Genomic DNA, 14,745 nt, shown 5'->3' with positions numbered 1-14,745 from the left:
AACTACCTCTTTTATGAGAATTTTGAAAGGAATTTTGACAGCCATGTTGGTGTGCTACACCCATTAACTCGTCATTTACATTAGGTATGTTGCCTAATCAAAAAAAACCCCCTCCCTCCACCCCACAGCAGGCCCTGGTGTGTGATATTCCTTTTCCTGTGTCCAAACATTAAAAGGCAAGAAAATAAGAACTATTACTCCCACCATAGACCGGAACGATGTTCGGCACCAATTAATTCAGCAGTACTTGACAGAATTTATGTATGGTAAAACTACCCAGTAGGAGGTTTTGTAATTAACAGGGTATTAAAAGAGAGCAAAAAATCAGTTTTGGAACAGATGATGCTACAAAACTACAAATAGCTAGATAGCAATCTAATGATTATCCAAGTCATCAAAACTTCTACTTTAAGTAGACAAATACTGGACTTAATATTAGCAAAACCAGAGCAAATTTTTCATCAACATCTTTTCTCTTTTGTAGTGAATTTAAGGTACATTTTAGTCATGTTTATTAATGCATCTATTTTGGGCAAAAAGGATTCCACAGAGGCACATTTGAAAAAAAAAAAAAAAACAAGTTTTCACCCTGTCTTTCAGAAACCACTGACTTCCTGCTTGCAGCATCGAGAAGTGTGTCTGGATGAGCATGATCAATGTTCATTAAACGCACTAAACTGACAGGTACACAAAATGGCACCACATGTTTGTGCATCTGAGCTTTCTATAATGAATAAATGGAGCGTGTGATCCCAAAGGCAGCTGCACCAGCCATAACTTTGTATTTGACACTTGACTGCTCTTAGAAGTTTGTTTGTCAAAAATTGTCCATTTGGAAAAAATAAAGAAAGAAAGGCAACAACTTGTGAGGCTTTCCAGAGGGCAGTTACACAAAAGCTTCTTAGGAACACCACTTCTAGGAGTCAGACTGTTCTCAGATGAATCAATTATTTATTTAATTGGTTATCAGTTCATCACTGTTGAAGTTCATTCTAAGTTCATTCCACTAAAACAACGCAGTCGCTTTACATGCTAAAACCCTAAGTTAATGTGAAAAAGAGGGCAACTAAAGCCAATGCTGCTTTTTCAGTTTGGCATGGAAATTCAAATTCGGCACTAGACATCCAGGACAGGTGGCAAACAGGAGTAAAAGAAATTTAGTTCCTGGACAACACACCACTAATTAATTTCCAGGAAATGTTATATCTCATTACCTGATGGTCCCTCCATGTCTACATGTGATAAAGCAACCCTTTGAAACCATGCCACACTCAGGCATTAGGGGAAACAGAATATCAGCAGCTCTCTCTTTATGTCAAAAGATCTCTACACTATGTGACAAAGAGCTAAATGTATTTCTTTCCAATTCTGAATTATTTTAAGGATGTACAGAGATTCAGGAAATCAATAAAATAAATTCTTGTAACCCATCCAGACCAGAAATACCAACAATCTATAGGGAAGAAGGAATTGGCAGTGAAGACCAGCTTATAAAGCAATGGCTTTAGATATAAGCACTTGATCCAAAACTTTGCTTATTTTCCTGATATAGGCTGTCAGGAATCCAAATAGTGCTCACTATTACAAATCATTTAGAACTTCTAATTGAGAAGGTACCTGTGGCTTCTAGAGGCTGTGAAAATGACAACATCTGTTTGGAGTTGGAAGGAACATTGCACACTATCAAATTCAGACATCCCATTTTATAAAAAGCTCTAAAGCCCAGGTCTCCTAACTCCTGAACTACTACTGTGTTTCTACCATGGAAATGTCTGGAAAGAGGGGGAAGGAGAGTTCCTTAAATGTAACTGGTATTGGAACCCAGGTTAAGGAGCAGGGGATAACACAAATTGACTTCAGAAATTGGTCTGCATTCCTCTATGGGCAGTGCTCTAGATGTGGTTAAAACCCCTCTCTAATTCTGTACAACTTCACCTCTGGTGAAAGCCACTTAGTGACACCTTGTGCTGCCTTTTTATTTTACTATTTTATTTTCTGAGTACGGAAAGATAAACTTATCCATAAAAGCTAATTACAGAGGCAGGATTAAATAGTGGCTAGGAGTACAAAATCAGGTACACTAATTTTTTTTTTTTATGAATGACATCTAAAAGGAAGGGAAAAGTACAAATTCTCTCCCAGACTCTTACTTCCTTGTGTGTTGTTGAGCAAATTATTTAATCTCTCTGTGACTAAAGTTTCTCCTTAGTAGAATGAGAATAGCATTGTTAGCTCAAAAGATGAGTTTTATTGCAGAGAAATATTGTAAAGTACTTAGCATTTTTTCTAACAAAGTAAATATTCAATAGTCAGCAATTGTATTACAAATGGTCTTGGTGTTTGCCCTATTTTCAATGAACAGATGTTAGAGTTTGGGGAGAACACATATGTCATTTAATAGAATGCCCAGTGAAGATGTGAAAAGGGCTTCAACTACTGATTGTCTGGTGCTATCCACTACAACAGAGAAGAAAAAAGAAATCAAGATAAACAATATGAAGGCTGGGGCTGGGAGCGGTGGCTAACATCTGTAATCCCAGCTCTTTGGAAGACCAAGGTGGGCAGATCACTTGAAGTCAGGAGTTTGAGATCAGCCTGGCCAACATGGTGAAACCATGTCTCTACTAAAAATACAAAAATTAGCTGGGCATGGTGGCAAGTGCCTATAATCCCAGCTACTCGGGAGGCTGAGGCAGGAAAATTGCTTGAACCCGTGAGTAGAGGTTGCACTGAGCTGAGATCACGCCACTGCACTCCAGCCTGGGCAACAGAGCCAGACTCCTAGTCAAGGAAAAAAAAAAAAAAAGAAACCCCCTGAAGGGTACCCACCCTAAAGCTCACTCCTAGTCACCTCTAATGCCTCACAAGAAGGCATTGCTTGTTATGCAATGGTGGTCATTAAGGTGATGGGGGAGGGCTAAACTGGGACTGGAATGTGAAAAATGTACCTGAAGCAAGGACTCTTCTGCAGACTCTTTCAACAGGGCATGTGTTTGCCAGTTGGGTGTGGGGTGTGTCTTAGTTTGAGTTTTCCCAGAAGCACATGTGTACTTCAAAAACAGGGCAAACACTGGGATCATTTAAAATGCAACTGCTGGGTCCTGAACGTTTACTTTATTAGGCAAAACGTGAAGTACATTCTTTCTCTGACAAAATACGGCCATCTCTTGAGGTAAGCAGTGCTATGCCATTTTACTGATCAGAAACGTTAATCACAGAAGCAGACTCTAAAACAAGTATTACAGTGTAACTAGTTTAAGAAGTGCAGGCCAGAAAGAAAATGAGGAAATGACAAGGGGATTGAAGGCGTCCAGTAAAGAACATTTGGCCAGGCGCGGTGGCCCACAGCTGCAATGCACTTTGGGAGGCAGAGGCAGGCAGATTACTTGAGGCCAGGAGTTCAAGACCAGTCTGGCCAACATGGTGAATCCGTGTCTCTACTAAAAATACAAAAAATAGGTGGGCATGGTAGTGCATGTCTGTAGTCCCAGCTACTCGGTAGACTGAGGCCCAAGAATTGCTTGAACCTGGGAGGCAGAGGTTGCAGTGACCCGAGATTGTGCCACTGGACTCCAGCCTGGGGGACAGAGTGAGACTCTGTCTCAAAGGAAAAAAAAAAAAGAATTTTCTATTCAAGCAGTGAATATAGCAGGCAATCCTGCAGAGAAACTCTGACATGACATAAAGCACACCTCACAGAGTTATCCCACCAGAGAGGTGAGAGAAGTTGGTATTTATACAGCACCTCTTGAGAGTCATTAATTAAGAACTATTCCTAGAGGGTTTTCTTTCTCCTTATATGAAGCTCACTTGTGCATATAAGCAGTGCAATTTCCCACAGTTTTTGGAAAAAGTGCTGAGGAACAAACCTGCAGATACTAGGAGTTAGAAGCATTCCTCAGAAACACAATTAAAGGTCTGAGGCATATGGATAGGGCACTGACAGCACCAGCTGCAGGGAGTCACAATGCTTGCTTGTACTATTGCACTGTATGAGGAACAACTTCTAGCAAATTCCCTGACTCTACATGCCAGACTGTCTTCCAGATGTCATGTTGCCAATGACCGTGGCTTTTGGCAGCATCCACACCTGGGACAATTCGATCTGTAACTAAAAATTACAGTCATCAAGCAGAGTAATTATAAACATTTAATAGTCTGAAACCACAGGGAAATAAGTATGTGAGCTGATATATTTGTATATGTTTGCATGTATAGGGAAGGAAAAGAAAAATGGGTCCTGGAAACCACACACATTTGTATAAACATGATTATTCCTTGAAAGACATGGTAAACTCATTTAATACAAGAAGGCATTTGGTTTTCTACAGGTTTCCTTAACATATTCTTTGCTTCCTCATCATCTTCTGCATGACACTATGTTATGTTTGTTAGTGGAAGTAAGTTTTAAAAACTGGTTGAAAATTTCATTTTAGATTTATTTACACAATGCTATTTGACATTTAAATGCTTTATCTTTTAGTTGCAGACTTCACTATTCGCAATGTTACCTTATGTTATCCATATTACATTTCACTAAAATGCCAGCATTTTTTGAAACATTGGGCTAGAATGGACTTACGGGTATCAGTTTATTCTGTACCCTGCCTAGGAACAAATAAACGTTGAATATATCCTGAACACATGAGAATCTCCAGAGGTAGATCTCCCCACTCCCACCTCTTTATTTCTTGATAGAAGATTCCAAGTTCTTTATTAACTCTATTCCTAAAAACTATAAAGTCTTAATAAAGTTGAATGTTCTAAGATACAGAAAGCTACATTAGAGTGGAATGTTACCTATATTCATTCGAGCTTTTCATCCAATATAATTTTTGGTATGTAACTCATGTCAGGAAATTACCTGGTATATGATTGATTACTTGCAATAATTGGAATATAAACTATTACTCAAAGCCACTTATATTTTCTCTCATAAGGGGTATCCAATTTTTAGAAATTATTTTTAAACGTGAACCATATAGCCATTTAACTTCTACCAATTAATCTTACTCATGAACCCTGGAGCTAATTTTAAATAATTTGACTTTTCCCATAAGATTCTGAGGAAGGCCTTTATCTTTTTGGGCATCAGTGCCCTTGTCCTGGCATGAGATCCAAAGCTTTTTTCATCCTACGGGTTGTAGGATTCTTTCCTTTCCTGGGATTCTCTAAACACAATAAAAATACAAACATCTAAATACAAATATCATGAACTGTAAATTATTCCCTTCTTTCACAATGCAAGCCAACATGGATTTAAAATGTTACTGATTACTTTCATCAATTCAATGTCCCTGATATTGTTTTATGTATTATTTTTTCTTAATATAACACCTTTGTTCTTTTATATATCAGAAATGCTGAAATATTTCCTTTCCTATAAACCCTGGATGTGCTTTACAAAAGTGAAACCTTTTTACTGATTCTTTATTTCAGCTTTATCAGCAGTTATTAAATAAAGAAATGCAATCGCCAAATTACAGCCTTATGCTGACACTGGACCATGTTAAGTAGTGTATAACAGAATCAAAAGTAAACATTTGCTACTGGGGCAAATTCTATTGTATCTAATGATTGAGTATCTAATGATTAGATTGATCTAATTTTAGTACCTGGGCTGTGAGCAGTTTTACGTTTTGAACCCTATGTCTTAGTTAGCATTTGTAAATACTTTCTGTGTATTATTTTGAAGAGGTTGTTCTAATCTCACATTTTGCCTCTGTGGTGATTTTTTAACAGACTTTATTTTTTCTAGGCAGCTTTAGGTTCACAGCAAAATTGAGGGGAAGGTGCAGAGATTTTCCATATATGCCTGCCCTCCTATACACACAGCCTCTCTGAACTATCAATATACCTCACCAGCGGTATATTTATTATCATCAGTGAACCCACATTGACATATCATTATCACCCAGAGTCCGGAGTTTACATTAGGGTTTACTCTTATGTTTTACACTCTATGGTTTTGGAAAAATTTGTAATAACATGTATCTGTATCTATCATTATAGTATCATATAGATTAGTTTCACTGCCGTAAAAATCCTCTGTGCTCTATTAATCTCTCCATCACCCCAAATCCCTGGCAACCACGGATCTTTTTACTCTTCCCATAGTCATTCTACCTTTTCCAGAATGTCATATAGTTGGAATAATAAAGTATATAGCTTTTTTCCCAGATTGGCTTTTTCACTTAGTAATACACATTTAAGTTTCTTCTATGTCTTTTCATGGCTTGATAGCTCATTTCTTTTTAGTGCCAAATATTATTCCATTCTCTAGGTGTACCACAGTTTACTTAACCATTCATCTACTGAAGGACATCTTGGTTGCTTCCAAGTTTTGGCAATTGTGAATAAAGCTGCTAGAAACATCAGTGTGCAGGTCTTTATGTAAACATAAGTTTTCACCTCCTTCGGGTAAATCTCAAGGAGTGTGATTGCTGGATTGTATCATAAGAGGATGTTTAGTTTTGAAGGTTCTAATCTCATTTTATTAGCTAGTTTATTACAATCACTCCCCTAGAGGTCTCCTGGCAGGTTATTAAAATGAGGGAATCGGAATGAAGCAGAAATTCACAGCCTTTCTCATGACCCCAAAGTGAAGCAGGAAAGAGCTCAGTGCAAACTCAGTATTTCTGAATCCAAATCTTGATTGTGGAATTGAGGTTACTGTTTTTGAAACCAGCTAAAAATAGGTAATCAATGTTCCTGTCTTGTTCTCAATACATTAGAAAGAATACAAGACTGAAGGGACTGGATTCTGGTCTAGAATTTTTCACCAACTGTCTACGATGATACAGTCCAGCAGTTATTTATCTGTAGTTGGATAACTGCTGGATTGTTTCATCATTTTAAGCTTTAACACTGACAAAAGAGAGGAAGTGGAGAAATGGAAGTAAGCTAAATGAAAAGCAGATGTGCTTCTGTCTGGTCCAGGACAGATAAGTACCTGAAGGGAGCGGGCAGCATGTCCCACACTAAGGGAGCTGAAGCCCTTATTTATAACCAGTCTGCCAGCTCTCCACTGAGAAGGTTAATTCTCAAACTGTGAGACTTCTGCTAAACAAAGTAACTCTTATACCATAGAAAGTTGCGACACTGGGCCGGGCGCGGTGGCTCACGCGTGTAATCCCAGCACTTTGGGAGGCTGAGGCAGGTGGATCACAAGGTCAGGAGCTCGAGGCCATCCTGGCTAACATGGTGAAACCCCGTCTCTACTAAAAATACAAAAAAATTAGCCGGGCGAGGTTGCAGGCGCCTGTAGTCCCAGCTACTCGGGAGGCTGAGGCAGGAGAATGGCGGGAACCCGAGAGGCAGAGCTTGCAGTGAGCTGAGATCACACCACTGCACTCCAGCCTGGGCGACAGACAGAGACTCCGTCCTAAAAAAAAGAAAGTTGCGACACTGGAAAGCCCTCTGATTTTTGTTACATCACAAGTCATACACGATTTTCAGAAGCAAGAGTGGCATCTGGAAACTCCAATGAGGAAACATGAAGAGTCAACAAATGTAATATCCACTAATGAAGCTCAATATTCCATTTTGGGGAAGCCTCCTACTTCAGTGTGTTGATTTCCTCATATGTAACACAAGATGGTTAGATTACCTCCCAATTTTCATTTCTGTATATTTAAATTACATTTTACATATGTTATATAACGCAGATATTCCTACTATCTCCAATTTAAAAATGAAAAACTAATGGCATTGATAAATTAAGTAAATTTTGAAGGTCACAAAATTACTAGGAAAAAGTTAATTAGGGCTAATGTAAAGTGACACAATCTATTAAACATCAAATTTAAGAATCCTATTCTTTTATGGAGGATGCAGGTGGCCTGTGATATGGAATGATCACTATGAGGAAATAAGCTTATAACTTATTTTAAAAGTTCTATTTTATTACCTAAAACCATTGTCATATATATATATATATTTCTTGCTTCCCTAGATTGTTCACTCTGTGAGAACATGGCACACTAGTATCTTATATGTCTCTTAAAAATTCCAAAACATGTAACCAAATGCTTATTAAATGGCTATTGATTGACTAAACAATTCTCATGCCAATTCACCTTATACTGAAATCTGCCCGGTAGTTAAGAGTATTAGAGCACAGTAAAACAAATGTAGGTTATAACTTTGGTTATTAAGCTTCTAGAGTTGTTACTGAAGGAGGAAAATGTGCTGCAACCAAGAACGCTAATAAGCCAGCGCCACCCCAAATCCCAAATCAAAAACCAAATTTAAAAAAAAGGTGAGAATAAATAAGGCCAACATCAACCTCAATAGTGCAGAAATGGAGTACTTTATTGTTTAGAAAGTTTCTGAAACTTATAGAAATCATATTATTAATAGAAGAATAAAAGAAAAAAACTTAAATAGGAAAAGGCAAAGGAAATTAGCAGACCAAAGCCAAACACTGGGTCCCACAGAAATGTATACCAAGCAAACGTACTTTCTGTCTTACACCTACCATTGAACTAAAAATAATGTGGTACGTTTAATACATTTTCTTCTTTCTTATAAAATGACCCATTACATCCCTGTCCCTGGAAATGTTATGACTTTTTAAAGGCACCCAACAATTGCCCACACCTGGTTAAGCCAAGTGAAACTCTGCACTATTACAAAGCTGATCCATAAACTGAAATTCTGTACAATTCATATACATTACCAGGAGGCTGTAGCTATTATGGTTCTCTTACACAGAGAGCACAGGTTTGATGTGGGAAGAACATTATGGGGCCCTTTACAAACCAACACAATCAATACTTTTATAAAATACTGTTGCTCCTTGAATGGTCATTCATGCTGAGAAGGCTAAAGCGAGGAGCCACATAATAGACACTGGTTTTCTTAGCATGAATGCAAGGCAGAAGAGCACATTTAACACTGCAGTATGACTCCCTGGCACTCTTTTAAGGCAACTGAGAAGTCAGAATACCTCATCCACAGTATAAAAAATAGTGATGCTCTTAAATGAGTTACCAAAATAGAAATTGATTAAACCTACACTTGTATTATACTTAATATATTGGAAATAATGATTTACATGGAAAGGAAACTGCTTCCCAATTTTGAAATATCAGAAGAGTTTTGCAACGAGGCTCACTCAATGTTTATTTTCTTTCTATGTGCTTTTCCTTTAATGTACAAATAATCTGATGAATTAAATTAGGATTCTTGAACATATATTCTTAAGTATAATTGATCTGAAATATTCTTTTGGGCTGTGTTTGGCAGATCTTTGTATTAATGTAATGGTGGCTTTATAAAAATAATTTTGAATATTCCTTCTTTCTCCATACTATAGAAAAATTTAAATACAAAACAAAATCAACTCCTTGAATGTCTAGGTATGATAATTTTGGGAAAAGTAGCTTTGAAAATTTTGATTTTTCTACAGTTAATGGTTTGTTTATGTTTTCCTTTATAATCTACTATGATCATATTCATTTGTTTCTGATAATATAAATAATATCAATTACTATTAACAAGTGATATAATTACAAAAAAGAGAAGTTTTAATCACTTGAATTCCCAGCCAAAAATAACTACACAATTAACATTTTATTGAGAGTCATTTTACATATTTATTTAATGCATACATATGCCATTTTTGTTGTCATATTCTTTTAAAATGGCATTTTTAAAAAATTTCACTGTACTTTTTAGGCTTATATGCTTACTTCATTTAATGAGAAATTTTTATGTGGGATCTACTAAGCGCACGCAATATGCTAAATGGTGTAGAAGAAACAAATTAATACCTAAAATTTACTCCCAAAGAAGGTGCAGTTTAATAGGAGGGATGAAACACTTACATAAATAATTCAAGTATCATCACTGGTCTATGAAAGCCATGGACCTTTGGTATCTACCCACCATCCTACATTGTTAGAAAACCCTGAAATCCCTCAAGTCAGAAAGTCACATCTACCATTTTGCAGCCATATCTCTACCTATATCATTCGTATGCTGGAGGCACTGTCCCCACTGTCTATGGGGTGATGGAGGTTTAGCTCTGTGCCATCCTCGGTATTCAACGAATGGCACCAATATAGACTCTGGATTCTGAAATAGGGATTAGGCTAAATACTGAGTTGTTGGCACCAAACACGTTAAATATTTAACTGAAAGAATCCACACTTACAGCTATAAATGGTAGGTAGTCAGAAAAATAATTTAAATTTGTTATTTTAAAAATCATGGGCCGGGCGCAGTGGCTCATGCCTGTAATCCCAGCACTTTGGGAGGCCGAGGCAGGTGGATCACTTGAGGTCAGGAGTTCCAAAGCCTGGCCAACATGGTGAAACCCCGTCTCTACTAAAAATACAAAAATTAGCTGTGTGTTGTGGTGTGTGCCTGTAATCCCAGCTACTTGGGAGGCTGAGGCAGGAGAATCACTTGAACCTGAGAGGTGGAGGTTGTAGTGAGCCGAGATCACGCCACTGCCCTTCAGCCTGGGCAACAAAGGGAGACTCCGTCTCAAAAAAAAAAAGAAATCATGGTTTATATAAAAATATTTTCAGAATAGAAAAATACTATGAAAAATTTATTTTTCAAATCTAAAGAATTTAGCATGACACACCTAGATGTCCAACAAATTAGATGGCTGTCTTTCTTTCACACTTAACACCATTTTCCCAATATCAAGAGGCTTAATGCTTCAAGAACAGAAATTTGAGTTTTCTTTTGTTATTCACAGCAGTAATATCTGGATTCTGAAAATAAGTGATTGAGAATGATTTGATCAAGAACATTGTTGAACTAATTTAAACTGGAGTATCTCATTATTTGTAGTCAAGAAGCAATCTCTCTCTGGTTGTTATCATTCACTTTGGTTCCACTAAAGTAGAGATACAAGAGCCAAAATGAGTGAGAAGAGTTAGCCCTCTGACAATTTTGGTTAGAGAAGACAGTCATTAGATCAACCTAATCTACATAGTACATTTTAACGATGCATATGTATGTAGAATCATATGGAATCCTGTAGAATCATATGGAATCCTGCACACATTTTTGAATAAAAATAATGTACATACTTGGAACAATAACAGTTAACATTTATTGAGTGCTTACTGTCTACTCTGAAGGTAAAGTCTAACTTAATCACCAAAACAATTCTATGAGGAAGGTTCTAATATCCTTTTTTATTTTTTAAAAAGCAAGATACAGCTAATATAAATAAATTGCCTCAACTCACACAATATCAAGTAGAATATCTGTAATTCAAATTCAGGCAATCTGATTCTACAGCTTTCTATCCTAACTACTATACGATTCTACCTTTTGTTTTCAGTTACAAAGGTATATACGTATGATGCACACATGCAGTGAAAAAAAAAAGCCCTGTTATTTGCTAGATAATTTCTGAGATTTCAAGAACATTCAAACACAGGATTTTGTTTTAAAGACTCATTACTATTGCATAAGAATTAGAAGAGCAAACCACAACCCCACGTGGGTACACCCATCTGACACGAGAACTGTTGACTGGGCCGGGTGTGGTGGCTCATGCCTGTAATCCCAGCACTTTGGGAGGCTGAGGAGGGCAAATCACCTGAGGTCAGGAGTTTGAGACCAGCCTGACCGACATAGTGAAACCCCGTCTCCAATAACAATACAAAAAATCAGCTGGGCATGGTGGTGGGGACCTGTAATCCCAGCTACTCGGGAGGCTGAAGCAGGAGAATCACTTGAACCCGGGAGGAGGAGGCTGCAGTGAGCCGAGATAGCGCCACTGCACTCCAGCCTGGGCAACAAGAGTGAAACTCCGCCTCCAAAAAAAAAAAAAGTATTTGTAAATTTGCTTCAGTTATATTCATCACTAGGAGGAGGATGAAGAGATTGCGATATATTCATATAATGACATAATATACAGCAATGAAAAGAACACACTCCTGATACATGGAATACAAAAGAATCTCAAAAAATAGTATGTTGAGCAAAATAAGCCAGACATAAAACAGTACGTACTTTTGGATTCCACCTATATGAAGTCCAAGAACAAGCAAAATTAATCTACGGTGATAGAAGTCAGAAGACAAATTACCTCAGGATAGAAGAGGTATTGACAGACAAGGAGTAAAAGAGAACTTTTAAAGTTAATGGAAATATTCTCTATCTTGATCAAGGTAGTGGTTACATGAGTACATATATGGAGCAATAGATGAAACGTAATATTTAAGGGGTTTTTTACATTATGTATACTACATCTCAATGGAAAAGGGGAAAACGATGCTTCGAAATACAGCAACGACAGAATAAAAGCAAAAAGGCACAAAAATTTGAAACTTACATAGTAAGACACAAAGAATAAAGTGACTCAATACTTTTTCCAATAACTTGATTTTTTATTATAAAGGAAAGGAAGAAAGAAAGAGCAGGAGGGAGGAAGGCAGGCAGGCAGGCAGCAGGCAGGGAAGCGATTAGTCCATTGATTGAAAGTACTGGGAATTTTGGAATTCCAAGTTTAAAGAATCAAACTTCCTTATGAAAAGACATTCCAAAAAACTAAACAGGGCAATCATGTAAGGCTGCAACTTCAAAATATTTTATATCAATAGTCTACTTTTTTGCCAACAAATGCAGTAAACTAGGATTCTCTTAGTTAGATTTCAGGTAGCTTTATGGCATCTATTAAATAAACATCTCAATATTTCTGAAGAAATAAGCATGCATCATGCATATCAGTTTTTCTTCTTTTTAGCTTAATTTCTATTAAGTTCTGGGATACATGTGCAGGGTGTGCAGGTTTGTTACATAAGTAAATGTGTATCATGGTGGTTTGCTGCACCTATCAATCCATCACCTAAGTATTAAGCCCTGCATGCATTAGCTATTTATCCTGATGTGCTCCCTCATCCTGCCCCTGACCCCGATAGGCCCTAGTGTGTGTTGCCCTGTGTCTGTGTGTTCTCATACGTGCTCCCACTTATAAGTGAGAAAAATGCATGTCAGTTTGTAAGTAAACTACATAATAACCACAGAAGAGAGTGTATTAACACCATCTTTTTATATGTAAAGTACAGTTGAAATATTGCATTTGTCTGTATTTGTTGGCTGGTGCTCATTCTGAACACATGAGACTACAGTTAAGAGCAAAACTAACAAAGACACTAAGGAATAGTTCTGACACTACACTTAAATAATATGAAAAATTAGGAAAAGAACATTTAGCTTTGCTTGACCAAGATCCCACAGTCAGGCTGACTATGCTACTGCTCTTTTAATATGAAACTAGAAAGAGGTAATTTATCCCCAAGCTTATTCACATGAATGAGCTCATCTAGTCTTTGATTTTTGATGTCTCAGTAAAGGAGATGTATTCTAAAGCAATAACATTGAAAATATATCTGAAATTGGTTTTCTGTGCTGATACATTCTTCAGAACCCTAGTAACCTACCTGTGGCTTTCTACCGCAGTCTTATTTGACCACCAGCAATGAAATGGGCTATACAATATATGAGGTTATGAGACAGAATATGAAAATAGGATAATAAAAAAGTTATCTTCAAATATCCTCTGAGAGGATAAAATGGAGGATTACCATTTTACAATTGTCAAGAGAAGGGATTAATTTTATATCATTTTCTATTTCCACTGCCTGATGTGGTAAAGTGGACGAATAGAAAGCCATTGTCTTTATTATTGATTTCAAGAGATTGTTAGAAGATGGAAATCTTCTGGAATTATTATGCCTCTGTAACAATCTTTATCTAAAAACTATGACTCTTACAGAATTCTCTGTTCTATTCCAACAGCAAATGTTGTGAGAAGGATGAGTTAGAGACATGCTGTCAACACAGATTTTCAGTGTCTGTCCCACAAAGTTCATGGGAGGGTCCTCCATCTTCTTACATTGGCCAAGATAACACTTTATCAAGAAGAATATGATTTAAATTAGATAAAGAAAAATGATTAAATGTGCACCACTGAATTCTGTTTCCCCTCATAAACCAGCATGTGCTAAGTTAATATCGGTAAATGAAACTGCATATAGGTGCTGTCCAAACTATAATATGGCTAATTTCTATTAACATTCCCCCAAACTGAAATTTTTATAATGACCCAGTAGAATCTTTTCTTAGTGGTGACAGCCAGACACCAACAAACCCATACTGGTAAATTATTTTCACCAGAAAATATCAGCCATAAACTGTATCTGTCTGTTTCAGTATATATATATAATTTAGAAAATTACATATAACATATAATTTTATGTATACATGGACATATTTAAATAGTGTATACATAGATAATATACATATGCCTCATCTTTTAAATAAAGATAACATGTGCTTAATTATGTTTGAAATTTATATTCAAGTACAGTCTAAATATTCAAACAGAAATGAAATTTTAAAAAGATTAAAATGGGATCAGAAAAAAATATTAACCACAAAGTTATGATTTCACAGTTATGAATTCACTGCTTATATCTTTGAGATTAATGATTGCTATAATGCAACCACTATAGCAGTATTGAAAAGATATCTAGAGGCCGAGCACAGTGGCTCACGCCTGTAATCTCAGCACTTTGGGAGGCTGAGGCGTGCAGATCACAAGGTCAGGAATTCGAGACCCTCCTGGCTAACACAGTGAAACCTTCTCTCTACTAAAAATACAAAAAACTAGCCAGCCGTGGTGGCGGGCGCCTGTAGTCCCAGCTACTCGTGAGGCTGAGGCAGGAGAATGGCCTGAACCCGGGAGGCGGAGCTTGCAGTGAGTCAAGA

The 14,745-nt window shown here is 37.0% G+C and overlaps 1 protein-coding gene across 31 annotated transcripts in view, besides 1 other annotated feature; it reads right to left on the bottom strand.

Moving 5' to 3' along the window:
* The window catches only part of CNTN4 (contactin 4), a 959,094-nt gene that overhangs the window by 633,902 nt on the left and 310,447 nt on the right, over positions 1 to 14,745 (bottom strand). The gene's annotated exons all lie outside the window — the stretch shown is intronic.
* Positions 5,058 to 5,227: an enhancer, noted in NCBI's record as "experimental_68954 CRE fragment used in MPRA reporter constructs". NCBI's record gives its function as "activates a minimal promoter by MPRAs in K562 erythroleukemia cells, with activity observed for both the introgressed and non-introgressed 3:2460600 variant alleles {active_cell/tissue: K562}" and the evidence as "EXISTENCE:reporter gene assay evidence [ECO:0000049][PMID:34662402]".

The sequence above is a fragment of the Homo sapiens genome, chromosome 3 (genome assembly GCF_000001405.40).
Source record: "Homo sapiens chromosome 3, GRCh38.p14 Primary Assembly".
Classification (NCBI taxonomy): Eukaryota; Metazoa; Chordata; class Mammalia; order Primates; family Hominidae; genus Homo; species Homo sapiens.
This window is presented reverse-complemented; position numbering and strand designations above follow the sequence as displayed.